The sequence below is a fragment of the Homo sapiens genome, chromosome 14 (genome assembly GCF_000001405.40).
Source record: "Homo sapiens chromosome 14, GRCh38.p14 Primary Assembly".
NCBI lineage: Eukaryota > Metazoa > Chordata > Mammalia > Primates > Hominidae > Homo > Homo sapiens.
The window spans coordinates 80,945,874-80,963,222 of record NC_000014.9 but is presented as its reverse complement, the minus strand read 5'-3'; the positions used below and the strand labels follow the sequence as shown (position 1 = coordinate 80,963,222).

The window sequence follows — 17,349 nt, the reverse complement described above, 5'->3', positions numbered from 1 at the left end:
TCTAAATCAGACCCATAGTATTAATATGTTTGTGTTGAGTTTAAGAATAATCAATATATATTTGGTATTTTGAGTATTTGTATTAACAGAAGTTGTTGACCTACTTGGGATATCTAATAGATTGGTCTTGCTATTCCAATTTAAAATGTATAATTGAGTAATTTATTTTGACTTGTGATTTAAGTTGAAAAGGAAATTAGAGGTTTTAATAAGTTTACTTGTATAGTGCTCACTGGGAGGTGGTAACTTTTCTATAATTTTGCATGTATTACTGGGGAAAAATGTGTTTCAATGAAAAGCTGTGAATTGACTAGAGCACACCCTTCCAAGTTTCTCAGTCTGATTCTATGGGAATTATTTTACACCTTTCTAGATTGTAGATAATTGTAGCAATGCAAAACAATTTTGTCTACGGATTGTAAATTCTGTCCCGTATGGAAGAGCTTCTATGAACTTCCCTCCCTGACTAGGGAAGAAGCTAGTTTGGCCTCCATCTGCATAGTCACTCTGATATTCCTAATTTATAAATATGTCTAGTTGGTGGGCTACCCTTTAAGCCAGTTGTAATATCTTACCAGGTTCTTCATTATGGTGGGTTAAAGCATGCCCCCAAAATTCATATCTACCTGGAACCACAAAATGTGACTTTACTTGGAAATACAATGTTTGTAGATGTAATGAGTTAAGTTGAGTCCATAGTGAATGAGGGTGAGCCTAAAACCAATAATTGGAGTGATGCAGGGAATGCCATGGATTGCCAACAGCAACCAGCCCCTAGGAAGAGCCAGAAAGGATTTGTCCCAAGAGCCTTCAGAGGAAGCATGACCCTGCCAATACCTTGATTTCCAACTTTTAGCTTCCAGAACTGTGAGAGAGTAAATTTCTGTTGTTTTAAGCCACTCAGTTTGTGGTACTTTGTTATGGCAATCTTAGGCAATTCATATACACTCATCAATGAGTTCATTAAAATCTTTAACATGTGTTCAATTTATAGGTGTATGAAAGTTACAATTTTTCCTTTCTTTGAAAATTATCTGTTGACAGTATTAACTCATTCATACCACCCAGGAATCTGGTGAGTCAGGGCCTATTATTACTCTTTTTTTATAGATGGAGAAACTGAGGCCCAGAGGAACTAAGCAATGTTCCCAAAGCATATTTAGGAAATAGCAGACCAAGGCATTCAACCCGGAGGATCTCACTCCAGAGTTTGGCAATCTAAAAACATAGGATTCCTGGTACTTATAAAGTTTAATATAATAGATGTTTTCAAATTTTCTAAGGATTGGGAAGGTTTCATCAAGCATTCAAGTACTTTAAAATAAAATACATTAAATTTGTTTTCATTTAAATTATTTATTATTTGATTAAACTATATGGGAAATCAGTTATTAAAATATTAAATGATAAAATACTCCTCAAAGTAATTGTTACGATTAGATTTCCAAACAAAATAATAAATACATAGAAAACTCAATAAAGAACTAGGTTTTACATTTATTTCTTTAACAAACCAAATATTAATTTACGAAGCCAGCTACCCCCATTAACTGTTTTTTTTGTGTGTGCATAGAAACTGCTCCCAAGGACATCAGAATTCACCTCAACCTGTACTGAGTTATGAAGGGAGTAGTAACAAATTTTATTGTCCATTAATATGTTCATCCCAAGTGAATAAATCAAACCCCTTCAGCTTTCAGGTCAGAATTCTTCAAAGCTCTTGAACACCACATCTCCACCTTCTACCTGCTCCACTGAAACTTCTTACACTCAACTCCTACTGGTTCTTCAGGAGGTAGCTCAAAGCCTTCGCTGAACCTCAGTTTAAGTAAATATCCCTCACCCCTACAAAGAGCATACTCAAGCACACTTATACAATTATAACTCTGTGTTTATGTAATTATTTGATTAATATGCAGCTCCCACACTAGACTGTAAGATCCCTGCAGACAGGGACGTGTTGGTGGTGTTCTCCATTAAGTCCAGAGTGTGACACAGTGTCTGGGATATAGTTAGTCCTTAGTAAAGATTTGCAGAATGAAGGAAGTAATGAGCAATGTAGAGGGCATATGGCCCCTCTTCAGTGGGGAATCCCCTGTTGTGTGGAATATTAGAAGGACCCAGTTCTGCGTCTCCTATTTCAGACGCCAAAAGTGGGCGGGTGACCACCTTTCTCTTCCTACCTCCAGCAGCTATGGCTTGCCAGCCAATCAAATGCTCCCATACAGGATACTACTCCCAGGTAGGATATTTAAAGAGACAGGGACAGTTGGGAAATTATTGATGGCAGCACATAGACAGTCTGGCAGCTACAAGACCGCAGATGTCCAGTGGCTGTGGTTTCTATATTGCCCATGGAATTGTCCTAAACAGATGATTCACTGTGGCTCCAGTTCCTTGCCCACAGTAGGCCTTGGCCTATTTTCAAAGCCTGGTCCTACAGTAATTCTGTAAATTACATGTTCTTTCAAAATATTTTTTTTCTTCCTTAACCTAAACAGAGTTGGTTTTCTGTTACTTATCATCAGAAACCTTGACTGATTTAAATACACACATATATATCTGTCTAAATATATATACACATAGGTATACAGATATATTCCCTCTCTCTATATATTCTCTCTCATATATATATGATGGACACATTTTATTGTTCATTATTATGTTCATTCCAAGTGAATAAATCAAATCCCTTTAACTTTCAGGTCAGAATTCTTCACTCCTCTTAGAACAGTGTTTCATATGTATGGGAGAGGAGAGAGAGAATGGAAAAGAATAATTCACAGAGCCTGGATATATGAAATGAAGTCACCTTTATATGTGTGGGGCTGTGTTTGGGGAGCACGTGGGTGTTGAAGCAGGGGGCTTCTCTTTAGCTTGGAAACAATTGTTATTCAGATTACAACCACTGATTGTGACTAAAACCATTGTGAAATATACAAAACATCCACATTTCTTTAAGTGTGGAACAAAGATGACTTGGAGGTACGTGAGATTATTTTAGGTGGAGTGCCCACCTGGCATTAAATAACCGTGAATCACACAGTGAGAAAGTAATTCCTTTCTCTATTGTCTTTCCATCCTTTCGATACTACCAAGGACACCGTGCCAGATTGTTATCTCTTTAATACTTATTAACACTTACTTTGCTTCCTTTTTAACAAAGAGAAGGCAGCTGTAGGCTCAGTGTATTCACAGACAATAGTCTGTAGCTAGAATTTAATTATATTTTTGTTTTTTCTGTCTTTAGTTTTCTGGTTACCTCTTATTTGTACGAAGTCATGCTAATTTTCCACTTGTAACCTTTCTAAATAAATTTCAGTTAGAGAAGCGAGTCAACTTAAAAATACTGAGTAAATAACAGCACAGATGGAACACAGGGTACAAATGCCAAAGATGATGAATGATTGTCTTCAGTTTAGTAAACAGTAGGAGAGTCCATCAATTAGAGCCACAGATGCAGAATGCAAATGAGTAAAAACAGAACCTGAAAACAACAGCTCCTTCAGAAACATATCTGAAGGCACACAGGTGTCCAAACCACTTACTTCGTCGAAACCCAAGACCACAGATGGCAGTGGGGTTGGAGAAGGCAGATGTAGCAGTTACTGTCATAATGAAACTGAAAGCAGGGTTAAAACAACACAGTAAGGCGTGCCAGCACTTTCTGGAGGAAGAATCCACACAAATACATAGAGTGGTGCAGAATGGTTGTCAAATCCTTTCTACCTCCTTATTCAGAGAAGGAAGGATCTTCTCATGCACAGAGGCAACAAATGGCAACTTTCTGAGTAAGAGAGGGTGATGGGTCAATCTTGTTATCCTTGGTTTTGAGATATATGATCTATAATTATATGCCAACATTTAAATTTTTAATTTTATTCTCTTGCTTCATTTAAGTTTCCTTAAATCAGTAATTTTCAATGGAAGAGAGTGATTTTTTTCAAACTACCTACACATCAAAGATTCTAGAATGTTCCACTGGCAGTGGGGGAAGTAGGGATCCCAGCTCTCCCTCACCTTCCACTCAGGTAAAGCATCATACCCTTCTGGAGGGGAGGAGTGAGGAAAAGATACAGCATCACTTCTTCAGTGAGGGCCACAGTCCGTAACTCTCTCCCCTGCATCCATAAGACCACGGGGCTGGGATATGGGTAGTAGGGCAAGAGAGCTGTTTACCTTTCAGAACAATAATCTATGAGTAGAAGATAAAGTTTAGAAAGAGTTGTTCTCGGCACCATCATAATTTGTAAAATGTCTAAGAAGTGGTTATACAGCATCTTAATGAAGGTTGCAGAAGTAATGCAAATAACTCTACAGGAACAAAATACCTTACATTTTAAACCAGTGTAAGCTCTTCAAAAACTTTAAAAAGAGGTACACTCTGAATAATACAAAACTTGTGAGAGAACATGCCTCAGTAGTAGATCCTGTATAATTTAAGTAGATTCCAAAAAGAGGTCACCACCCAGAACGGCTTTTTAATGACAAAAACTTGGTTTATTTCAGCAAGGAATACCTTCCATAACTTAGATCTTTCTTGTCTAGAAAGATGTAAAAAAAGATCTAGATTTTCTTGTCAAGAAAGACTAACTTAGTCTTTCTTGTCCTCCTTGCCTCTCTTCCACTCTCTCTTTCTTCCTTCCTTCTTCTTTCCTTTCCCTGCTAACCTCCTGCTTTCTGAGTTCTTGCATCTGATGAATAGCCCCCGAGGTTATCAGTCGGTTTACTGAATGTGACTTGTTTTCAGACTTTTTTCTCCAAAGCCTATGACCATCAGGGGAACACTGGTGTGGTGAGACACACTTCTCATCTGAGAGTGGTGGCTTAAGGGTGCAGGCTCCATAGTTGATGATATGATATTCAAATCCTGACTTTACCACTTACAAGCTGTGCAACATTGAGCAAATTACTTCATTTTATTTTTGTGCCTCAAGGTCCTCATCTATAAAATGAGCATAATAACATCACCTACTTAATTGGATTTGGTGAGGATTCACTGGGTGAGTTCATGCAAAGCGCTGAGAACAGGACCCCCCGCCCCCGTAAGTAAACACAATATAATTGTTAGCTTTACATGTTTTACTTCTCTCATATGCTTTTCTTCAACAAAGAGTTCTACCGCCCCCAAAAGATTTAAAAATCATTTTTCTACTGTTGCAGATGGTAGTAGCCATTGTTCAAAGGAGACTACCATTTTGTTTTACCCACACTTTTTATCAGGTTTCTCTTTTCGATCTCAGAATAACTTTATTCTTCAGGACATACTACCTCCCTCTCCATTATTCTCAAGGGCAGATCCTCCTTGCCACTGTCTTTATGTCTTTTTCTTGTGATTCAGTGCCTTCCCTCAGACTATTCTCATCAGCATCATGTCATCACCTAGAAAGCACCTAGTTGAACATTCTCTTTTACCCAGAAGGAAATTTGGCTCCTTCCAAATCAGTCATCTTACACAATTTCATGGTTAGTAAAGAAGGGCTAAAGAGAATGCTGGTTTCCTGACTCCTGTTCCATTGCTCATTCTCCATTACCCTTTCTTTCTCAACTTTTGGTGGAATTTTAAACAGGATGTCTACGAGTTCCTTTTCACTGTCAGAGCCACATCTCTCTTCAATGACTTGAATTTCTGCCACTGTTAAAGAAGTCTCTGAAGAAGTGATGTCTTTGGATTTCTTTCTCCCCAACATAGAGTGGACATTCAGAGACCTGGCATATTCATTTGTTTATTTATTCACTTAAGTTTTTTTTTTTTTGTTTTTTCTGAGTGTCTAAGTAGTTCCAGGGTTTCAGGAATTCGGGGTTGAATGGCAGTTCCCTATGTTAGAGAAGCTTGTGTCCTGCTTGAGTGGGCATGCAAATAAATAACAAGTTACAAGAAAGTAGACAATGTCTAAGGGCTAGGGTTAGGTTCATGCAGAGAACGCTGTTGGGAAGGGGGGTATAGCTTACCCAGCCTGAAGGTCATGGGTCAGGAGAAGCTTCCTGCAGGGTTGATCCAGGATCTGGATCTGGGAGTAGGCATTAGCTGGGTGAAGAAATGGGTGAAATGTGCTTCAGGCAGAGGGGCCAGAAAGTGGGAAGAAAGGCAAGGGCAGCTGTAACAGCAGGGACCTTTGGGGAAGTGCCAGAAGTTCTCAGCAGGAGGGGGAAGTTAGAGAAATGAGGAGCAATGAGGTTGGAAAGACTTGACTAGGTCTTGAAAGATCTGGTAGGCTGCACAAAAGAATTTTATTCTAGAGGTGACAAGCAACCTATGTAGAGGTGTAATCAAGAGGCCATTACACCTTTTACACATCTTATTCTGTGGTGGCAGCATGGAGAATGACTACCACACTGTTTGGAGGTTATTGAACTAATTAATTCAGGTGTGCTAAGACACTAGGATATCTCTGAGCACAGAAATATATCTCTGTGCTCAAATATTCATCTACTGTTAAATAGTCTTCATGAGCTAAATTCTTGAGAAAATCTAGAGGTGCAACTTTCCCATTTCTTTTCATCTATCAACATTTTCTTTAATAACCTGCATTTTTTTTTATCTTAACTGGATTTAACCAGCCTAGGTTGTTTTACTGTCCTTTCTTTCTGTTCTCTTTTTAACTAATCAAGACAGACTTTATTCCCTTGGTTTTGTCTACAATTTCAATGATCACTGATTTAAATTGCTGTTAAGAAACAGGTTGTGTGTGTATAATCTTATTTAACATCAGGTTTCTAATCTGGTAACATTTAACATGCAGATAAATGTACTATACTTTTATGAAATTTCATTTCTTTATACCTCTATCACAAAGCAGGGTTCTGGACGTACTATTTCACTGGCAGTTCACATTTGAGTAAGTAACTTACAGATACTGTATAGACAGTTCATTTTAAAAAGGGCCCCTGCTTAAACCTTTGTCAACAATTTGATGAATCAGCAGAACTGCTAAGATAACCTCCCATCTAGAGAAACAAAAAGGAGAAATACATATTTTTGCAATTTTTTATTACCCAAGGTAAGATCAAAAAGGTCAGTTCCTGAGATGCCATTATCCTTATTAATTCAAATAAAACAGATTCAACCAGGGTTAGGCAAAGTGCTGAATAGCAGCTTGTTGGAAAGAACAGCTCTCACGGTCATTGTACACCAAAGTTTTGTAACATTTTCCTGTGTTGGGAATGAGGATGTCAACAATGATACCTTCCCAAGTGTGGGCGATTAAGTTTTTAGCACACACACACATCTACACACACAGACATTCACTCACACATACACACACTCACACACTACTTCGGGCTGTTATTGAGCTGCTTTTGTGCACTTCGGGCCACCTCTGCAGATGCCCTTGATCTCTGGGTCCTACCCTGATCTCTCCCGGGTACTCACAGAGTCTGCGTACTGGGCGGTAAGCTGGGGATGCGTTGAATATCCTTGCAGGTGACTCTGAAGTCCTCCTCCTGATGGCACTCGCAGGGTGGAGACGAACACCCCATTCCGCCCAGGTCCCTGGGCAGGTCGAGCAGCAGCACCAGCTGCAGCAAGTCCGCCGGCCTCATTTTCCACGGGACTCGGGGCTATTTCTCCATCCTCCGAAATCGCCTCATTCTCAGCTCTGCACCTCGGGTTACCCCAGGCCAAAGGAGACCCGGGAGCGGGAGGGGTGGGAAGAGGGAGGGCTCCAAGGGGCTGTGACCTCACCACTGTGGAGGAGGCTGGAGAAGGGGAAAAAGAGGCACTTAAGTGCTCCGCTTCCCTAGGCAACCTTGACCCAAACAAGTCTGCTTGCTTCACTTTCCTTGGCTGGACCCACGCAGTCCGCTCCGTCTGTTCCCTGACACCCAACACCAGTCCTGGCTGTCCCCTCTGTTTTCCAGCCCGCCCCCCCACCCCGGGCGCCCCTCCCATTAGTTCTCTCCAAAGCCTAGTTTAGATGCCCCCTCCTTTCCTCCTCTTTAAATCCAAGGAGCCACCTTCCCTAGCGTGTAGCCTTCTAGACACCCTGTCTGCCTGGGAGCCACTCGCACGCACTCCTTATCCAGAGAAAGTCCCCGCGGAGTGGACTGTCCGCGGGCGGACCAATGTCCTGCAGAACTTCAGCTCCTCCTGGCCAGAGACACCTCTGCTGAGGGTCAGAGGCGGGCACGCAGCCCTGGCTAGCCCGCGGTGCGGCCGAAGCCGTCGCCCTGCACCCCTGGAGGATTCTCGTTGCTATCCAACTGCAGGGGCCACTCCGGTGGTTGAGTCGACTGGCAGCGGCCGCCTCACGTTGCAGCCCGCGGCTCCGCGAGGCAATTCAGGAACTGAACTTTGGGGCCATCTGCTGGGAAGAATCGGGAATGGCAGAAATAATTCCAGGTTCCCTTAATAATGGGTCCAGTATGGAAATTCTGGTCGACCCAAGAATTTCATTGAGTCATATTCCCCCTGGAAGATGGGAAGAAAAATAATACTTAAGTGGCATACTCACCATTCTTCGCACAGTAGCCAAAAAGATCATTACAAACATAAATCAGATTGTGCCTATTTCCTTCTTAAAAGTCTTCAATCACTTATTCCTCTTGGGATAAAAGGAATGTCAATTCCTTCTATACTGCATAATTCCTTTTATATGAACTTGGCTAGGACAGGAAGGAAAAAGTTGTGGTTATGGGAATCAGAATAAAGGTTAGGAAAGATTGACTAGAAAAAGACAGGAGGGAACACACAGGGTTTCCATATCGTAATTAGGCTGGAGGTTAAGTGGATGTATACATTTATCAAAATTCATTAAACCGTACATTTAAAATATGTGTATTCCAAATTTTACAGAAGCTTTATTCATAACCACTAAACGAACCAAGTGTCTCGCGACTAGATAATGGATAAACAAACTCTGATACCTCCACATTGGAATACTATTCTGCAATAAAAATGAATGAACTGCTGATACAACATGCACAAATTTTCTTTTCTTTTTTTTTTTCTTTTGAAACGGAGTCTTGCTCCGTCGCCCAGGCTGGAGTGCAATGGCGCGATCTCGGCTCACTGCAACCTTTGCCTCCGAGGTTCAAGCAATTCTGCTGCCTCAGCCTCCCGAGTAGCTGGGACTACAGGCGCCCGCCACCACGCCCGGCTAATTTTTTCGTAATTTTAGTAGAGACGGGGTTTCACTGTGTTAGTCAGGCTGGTCTCGATCTCCTGACCTCGTGATCCGCCCGCCTCGGCCTCCCAAAGTGCTGGGATTACAGGCTTGAGCCACCGCACCCGGGCTTTTGTTGTTGTTTTTTTAAAAATTACCATGGTATTGTTATGGAACAAATCTTGAATGCATAATGTTAAGTGAAAAAAGCCAAACTCAAAATATTACGTATTTATATGTAATTATTCATATTAATGATTCATTTATATAGCTTTCTCAAAAAGGCAAAACCATAGGGACAGGAAAAAGATCAGCGGTTGCAAAGGCCTAGGGTAGGGCTGACTACAAATGAACACCAGAGAATTTTGTGGGTAATAAAACTGTTTTAAATCTTGTTCGTGGTGATGGTTCCATGGTAGTTTATTAATGTGGTGAATCATAGTGATCGATTTTCGAATGTTAAACCCACCTTGAATTGCAGGGATAAATCTCACTTGATCATGATGTATTTATCCTTTTTTTGTTTGTTTGTTTGAGACGGAGTCTCGCCCTGTCGCCCAGGCTGGAGTGCAATGGCACGATCTTGGCTCACTGCAACCTCCGCCTCCCGGGCTCAAGGGATTCTCCTGCCTCAGCCTCCAGAGTAGCTGGGATTACAGGCGCCCGCCACCACGCCCGGTTAATTTTTTGTGTCTTTAGTGGAGACGGGGTTTCACCATGTTGGCCAGGCTGGTCTGGAACTCCTGATCTCGTGATCCGCCCGCCCCAGCCTCCCAAAGTGCTGGGATTACAGGCATGCACCACCGTGCCCGGCCGTGTTTATCATCTTTTTAATATACTCCTTCATTGGATTTGCTAAAATTCTGTTTAAAAGTTTTACATAGACGTTCACAAGGGATAGTAGTCTGTTATTTTCTTTTCTGTAACTTCTTTGTCAAATTTTGGTATGAGGGCAATTAATTCTTCCATCACAGAATAAGTTGGGAAATATTCCTTCCTCTTTAAATTTCTATAGGAGTTTGTGTAGAACTGATATCATTCCTTTCTTACTTATTTGGTAGAATTCTCCAGTGAAGCTGTTGGAACCTTGCATTTTCCTTATTGGAAGGTTTTTAACTATAAATCCAGTTTCTAAACATAGATTTAGGGCTATTCAAGTCATATAATTCTTCTTGAGGTAGCCTGGGCAGTTTGTGTCATATAATGAATTGTCTATTTCATCTAAATTGTTGAATTTATTGGCATGAGTTTGTTCATAATATTCTCTTATCCTCTTATATTTATATAATCTATTCTGATGTCAACTCTGTCATACCTGATATTGATAATTTGTATCTTCTTTTTTTCACCTAAGTACTTTATCCAGAGGGTTATCAATTTTATTCATATTCTCAAAGAAGCAAATTTTTGTTTCTTAGATTCTCTATTTTTTTTTGTGCTCTATTTCATTGATATATGCTCTGATCTTTATTATTTTATTACTCTGCCTACTTGGGGTTTAATTGGCTCTTCTTTACTTCTTAAGGTGAGGTTTCTTAAGACTGAGGTCACTGATTTGAGGCCATTTTTCTTTTATAATATTGTATGTGTGTAGTGCTGTAGACTTTCCCTATACTACTTTAGAGACATCCCACAGGTTTCGATATCTTGTAATTTCATTTGTATTCAGTTTAAAATACTTTTTAGTTTTTCTTTTAGATTTCTTCCTTGATTCTTTAGAAGCATGTGGTTTAGTTTCCAAATATTTGAGGAATTCTCAGATATTCTGTTGTTAATTTGTAAATTAATTCTATTATAGACAGGGAAAATAGTTTGTATAACTTGAACACTTTTAAATTTAGTGAGACTCATTTTATGATTCAGAATATGGTCAATCTTGGTAAAATGTTCAGTGTGTACTTGAAAAAAAATAAGTGATCAGCTTTTGTGGAGTTGTGTGTTCTACAAATGTGATTAGGTCAAGTTGTTGATAGTATTGTTTAAGTCTTTTGTATTTTTGCTAACTTTAAAGTCTACTTGTCATATCAATTGTTGAGACATGGGTACTGAAATTTTTTACTACAATTGGGGATTTGTTTTTTTTCCCCCTCATTGCATTTCTATCAGGTTTTTCTTCATGCAATTTAAAGTTCATGTATTTTGAAGTTCTATTATTAGGTAAATACGTGTTTGGGACTATTATTTTCTTGTTCTCTTCATTGTTATTAAATGGCCTTCTTTATACCTTGTGATATCCTTTGCTCTTCAATCTACTTTTCTGTTATTGGTAGAGCCAATCCATCTTTCTTTTGATCAGCGTTATCATGGTATGATTTTTTCATACTTTAACCTCTTTGAGTTTTTATATTAAATGTGCAGTTCTTATAAATAGCATAGAGTTGGGTCTTGCTTTCAGTCTCGCCGTCTCTGCCTTTTGTTTGGTTTGTATAGATCATTTACATTTAATGTCATTATTCACATTACATTTAAGTGAATAATCTTGCTATTAGTTTTCTATTTCTCCATTGTTATTTGATCCAATTCTCCTTTTATTTTAAACATATGTTTGGAGTCATTAAGGAATTTTTATGATTCCGTTTTATCTTCTTTGCTGAATCTTAGCTATAACTCTGGTTATTATACTCATTGCTTTAAGGTTTATAGCATGTACGTTTAAGTTATCATAGTCCACATTCAGTTGATATTATACCAATTTATACTTGGTTTAAAAGAACCCTTCAACACTGTACTTGTTGAATGCTTGTTTATACTCCATTTCTCCTCTCCTGCCTAACCTTTATGCTTCCATCGCCATACATTTTACTCATACATAGGTTATAAATCCCATAATACAGTGTTATTATCTTTTAAAGGGATTCAAATAATAAGACAGTTACCCCTTCTGGTCTTTCTCATTCCTTAGTATTGATCCATATTTTTCACTGCTGTCACTTTCCTTTTGCTTGAATGACATTCATTAATTTTTTTGTCATACATATCTGCTGGTTATAAATTATTCCAGCTTTTCTGTGTCTGAAAAAGTATTACTTTTGTCTTCTTTTTAAAAAAGGATATCATCACTAGGTATAGAATCATAGATTGACATTATTTTTAACTTTCAGTACTTTAAAAACATTGCTTCATTTTCTTGTTGCTTGCATTGTTTACAAGGACAAATCTTATGTCAAAGTTTTCTTTGCTCCTTTATAATCTGCTTTTTTTTTTTTTTTTTTCTTACTCGGGATGCTTTTCAGATTTTGTCACTTGTTGAGAGCAATTTCACTGTAATGTGCCTTGATGTACTTTTCTTCAAGTTTCCTGTGCTTGGGGTATTTTGAGATTCTTGGATTTGTGTGTTTATGGTTTTCATCAGACTTGGAAAATTTTTAGCCATTGTTTCTCCATTTCTGCATCTATGATTTTCCCCCTTATCACTTTCCTCTCCCTTGAGCATTCCAATTATTGCACTTATTAGGCTAATTGAAATTGTCTCACAAAGAGAATATTGATGCTTTTCTCAGTAAAAAATTATTTTTCTTTTTGTCTTTGATTATGGATTGTTTCTTTTGCTATGTCTTCAAATTCAGTATTCTTTTTTGTCCTCCCGTAATATTTAATTGGCCACTAATCCCATCCAACGTCTTTTTTATCTCATAAAATGGATTTCCATCTCCAGAAGTTCAACTTGGGGCTTTTTTCATATTTTCCATGTCTCTTTATATAACACTTTTTGAACATCTAAAATACAATAATTGCCTTGATATCTATCTTAGTTTCCTAGGGCTGCTGTAACAAAGTACCACAAACTTGATGGCTTAAAACAAGATAAATTAATTTGTTCACAGTTCTGGAGGCTAGAAGTCTAAAGTTAAGGTGTTGGTGGGGCATACTTCCTCTGAGAGTTCTGTGGGTGGATGTTTCCTTGACTGTTCCTAGCTTCTAGTGGTCGCTGGGAATCCTTGACATCTTTTGGGTTATATCACTGCAATCTCTCCTCTGTCATCATCAGGTGTTCTCTTTGTGTGTCTCTGTGTCCAAATTTCCCTCTTCCTACAAGGACATCAGTCATTGTATTTGGGTCCATGCTAATCCATTATAACCTCAACTTAATTTAAATATCGTTAAAGATGCTATTCCCAAATAAGGTCACATTCACAGATACTGGGCATTAGAATTTCAAGATATCTTTTTGGGGAACAAAACTCAACATACAACAGTGTCCTTGTTTGATAATTCGAATATATATATATTTTTGTCAATTCTGGGTCAGTTTAGATTGGTTGATTTTTCTCCTGAAAATGGGTTGCATTTTCTATTCTTTGTATGCCTGATAATTTTTGTTTGGATGGCAGATATTGTAAATATTACCCTTTTTGGCACTGGAATTATTGCATTCATGTAAATATTCTTGAGATTTGTCGTCAGATGTAAATTACTTTGAAACAATTTGGGATTTGTGGATCTTGGTTTTAAGCTTTATTAGGTGGGACTAGCACAGCATATAATCTAGGGCTAATTATTCCTCATTCCCGAGGCAATACCCTTCTGATTACTCTAGCCAGTGTTCCATGAATTATGAGGATTTCAAATCTGGCTGGTGGGAGGAGTCACTGTTCCTGGTCCCCTGTGAGCAACAGACAATTTTACCTCCAATCTTGCTAGTTGCTTTTTTCTCCAGCCTCATTTTTTTCACATGTGTGTAATGATTAGTACTCTGCTGAATCTTCCATGGAGACCCTTTATAGTTCTCGGAAGTTTTCTCTCTACGTAGCTCTCTACCTCCCGTAGTTTGTCCTGCAAACTCCACCTACCTGCATCTTTCCAAACTCTCAGCTTTGTCTCCCCAATTAAAGAATCCACTGGACTCTGCCTGGGTTCGCTCTCCTTGCACCATGACTTGGAAACTCTCTCAAGGCAGTAAGTTGTGGCAATCATAAGGCTTGCTTTATTTGTTTCCTGTCTTTCAGGGATCATGGTCTTTCTTGGTATGATAGCCGCTGCCTTGAAAAGCATTGCTTCGTATATCTTGCCTGTTTTTTTGGTATAATTCTGGTGGGAGGGTAAATCTGGTCTCTGTTACTCCACCTTTGCTGGGAACAAAAGTGGTATGCTGAAACCTATAACATTTTATATCAAGATTTAGACAGCATGAAATTGGCTTAGTGGCAATTATAATGTAGGCAAAAACTCTTATGCCTACAGTTTCAGTTCAGCAAATTGGAACATGCCTTAGGGCTAACCATGTTCTAATAGTCTGCTCAACAAATTGCTCAACAAATTGCTATGACAATTAATAAGACAATTTTCTTTCCTTAGCATAACTTTTAAAATGGGGCAAATAAACACATGAGATAAGATGATGACCAATCTTTGTGATCAGGTTAAATAAAGAGAAAAGTGCACTCAGTTCCCTTAAACACACGCACAGAATCCTTTTAAATGTAACAAATGAATGAGAATGGCTATAGAACACTACTTTTTCCTTCTTGTAGAGGAATTATTAGCATGGTTCAAATATTAGAAAGTGGTGTTTGGCAATTTATGCCTCTGTGTGTTTTATCTTTTTTCAGAAAGTCCCCATTAAAGTGGAGCATTCCACTAGCCCCTTTCCATAACCTCTTTATTGATTAGTTATATTGCTTAACTACAGAAATGTTTTGCAATTTTGGTTTAGTACATTAATAGTGGCTCACTTTGACCTAAATGCATATGAATTACTGTGTTTTATATCTGTGACGCTCTTGGCAGTGATAATTACCTATAATTAGTAAGTGTGTGGCTGAAAAGAACTTCATGGGATCAGCAGGGCTTCAGCACAATGAATGGCTAAAGATGATTCTTTGAGTAGTAGGCAATATTATCCCTGCAATACCTTGTTTTTTTATCTTGACTCTTCTTAAACTTGAAGGTAACTTGCAAACTTGATGTAGAAAAAGTCAACAACCATTTATGATTGTTTTCTGCTGATGTAAAGAGAGTGAATTTCACCACTGACTTGATTGAGAGAGAATTTTGAGTAGCTCCATTTAGTCCCACCTAATCAAGATTTGGGGGAATTTCCCTTTTACTTACCTATAACATCATACTTGGTGTCTTCTGTCTTATGACTTATAACTGTGCAGTGATACTATAGGGGAGCTTGACCATCTGTGTTGGCTAGAGGGAACAAAGCAAAATCCAATGATGTAGGTGGTCATCACTTGTGCTGGACAGTCACCAAGAACAATGCAGGCTACATTTGAAGTAACATCCTCCTTTGATGCCTATGGGCAGAACAGGTAGGTTCAAGCTATGAATAGTGCTTGCTTGAGTGGAGGCCGGGCACTCTGTCAACATAGACTTTCTCCCTATGCCTACAGGTCTGCCTCCCCAACCTCCTATTCCTCTCTTTCCAGGACCCCCTTCTTCTCTGTTACCACATTCCCAGTCAGGAATCTCTTTTCTTTTGGGGGGAATCTCTTTTCTTTTGTTCATGGTATTTCCTTCCAAATCATTTGTTTATAGCATGACTCCTCTGTGACAGCAGGGTTGACTTCATGGGTTTGTGACCTGTGCAATCACTCAGGGCCCTGTATTCAGAAAGGCCCAGTGCTTAGTTTAATGCTGTGTTGTTGCCATTTTGACATCTTAATAAATTTTGCAAAAGGGCTTAGCATATTCATTTTTCACAGGGTCCTACAACAAATTACACATCCTGTCCTATCTGAGAATGTTTGTGTTTAATATGCAAAATCCAGGAAGAAAATGCTTCATTTTCTTCTTCTTTTTCTTTCTCAACTCCCCTCCCTTTCTGCTTTCTGTGGTCACCCCCCATCTCTAAGGCCATGAGTGCAGAACAGTGTAGCTGACAGAAATGGAGATAAGGAGAGAGCCAAGGTGAAAAAAATAAACATTTGAGGAAAATGTTGGTATTTCAAATACATTTTTGTGTCACATGGACATAGTTAGTGTGCTGTTGTATTAGTCCATTCTCACACTGCTATAAAGAACCACCTGAGACTGTGTAATTTGTGAAGAAAAGAGGTTTAATTGACTCATAGTTCTATTGGCTGTACAGGAAGCACGGTTAGGGAGGCCTCAGGAAACTTACAATCATGGTGCTTTGAAGGGTGAGGAGGAAGCAAGCACCTTTTTCACATGGCAGAGTGGGAGAAAGGGAGAGTGAAGGGGGAAGTGCTTCACACTTTTAAACAACAGTTCTTGTGATAACTCACTCACTATTATGAGAACAGCAAGGGGGAAATCCACTGCTGTGATCCAATCACCTCCCACCACGTCCCACCCCCAACATTAGGGATTGCAATTCCACGTGACATTTGGGTGGGGACACGGAACCAAGCCATATCAGCTGTTGTTGTTTCATAGTTGTATAAATTTGGAAGTTATTGGTGAAATACAACTTCTGTCCCTTCTCCTTGAAACGGCACTACCTCTGTCTGCCACCCACAGCTTCTTACATAATAGTTGTCTTCCCTTCTCTACATTTATTCATTCTAGATGAGTTGGGTTAGGATGGTCATGTCAATGCTTTTAGACTAGCCCCATTCCAGAACCTTTTTATTGATTAGTTCCTCTAGGTATTTAATGTTTCGTATGGTTCAAAAGTGTTTCTGATAAACTGCTCAGGAAACTAGATCTAGAATTAGCATCTTGGATCTTACAGGCTGGTGATCTCATTAGTATAATCTTAGTCAAGGCTCTTTAGATTTCAATCAACAGAACTAATCTTAGGCTTCAAAAGGGAAATCATCATGAGGCATCATCATGATGCATCATGAGGCATCATCATGATGCATCATGAGGCATCATCATGATGCATCATGAGGCATCAAGGTATTAATAAATTCTTTGTTCTAAGTGTCTAGAACAAAATAATAGAGTACCAATATTCATGGAACTAACATTTTTAGGATGTCATAGTATTTGTCAGCCTACATATAATGTCAGCTTACATTCAATAATGCTTACCATGAATTAGACACTAGGCTTAGTGCTTTACACACATTAATTTATTTTATCCCCCAAACACCTCTACACATGAAGTGCTATTTTTATTGTCCACATTTAGAAGAGGAAGAAATGAAGGCACAGAATGATTAAGTAACTTGTTTGAAGTAACATTGCTGATAGGCATTATAACGGACTTGAATCCAAGTGGTTTGGGTCCAGAATCTGTGCATTTAACCACCTCTAGTTGCCACTAGTGTATTGTGGAAAACAAGTACAGGAAATACAAATGGGAATAACAAGGCTTGGATCCAGGAAC

At 38.9% G+C, this 17,349-nt stretch overlaps 2 protein-coding genes across 8 annotated transcripts in view; one reads left to right on the top strand and one right to left on the bottom strand.

Moving 5' to 3' along the window:
- The window catches only part of TSHR (thyroid stimulating hormone receptor), a 190,686-nt gene extending 183,084 nt beyond the window's left edge, over positions 1-7,602 (bottom strand). For all 3 annotated transcript variants that reach the window (NM_000369.5, NM_001142626.3, NM_001018036.3), the window contains exon 1: positions 7,373-7,602. In NM_000369.5, the coding sequence (NP_000360.2) occupies positions 7,373-7,542 (170 nt within the window). In that variant the 5' untranslated portion in view covers positions 7,543-7,602. The remainder of the gene's footprint in view (positions 1-7,372) is intronic.
- CEP128 (centrosomal protein 128) overlaps positions 3,721-17,349 on the top strand; it is a 482,534-nt gene continuing 468,905 nt past the window's right edge. For 4 of the 5 annotated variants that reach the window (XM_047431022.1, XM_011536492.3, XM_047431019.1 and 1 more), the window contains exons 1-2: positions 3,721-3,791; positions 4,938-5,045. The gene's annotated coding sequence lies outside the window, so the exon portion shown is untranslated. The remainder of the gene's footprint in view (positions 3,792-4,937; positions 5,046-17,349) is intronic. The other variant, XM_047431021.1, reaches the window with a different exon arrangement.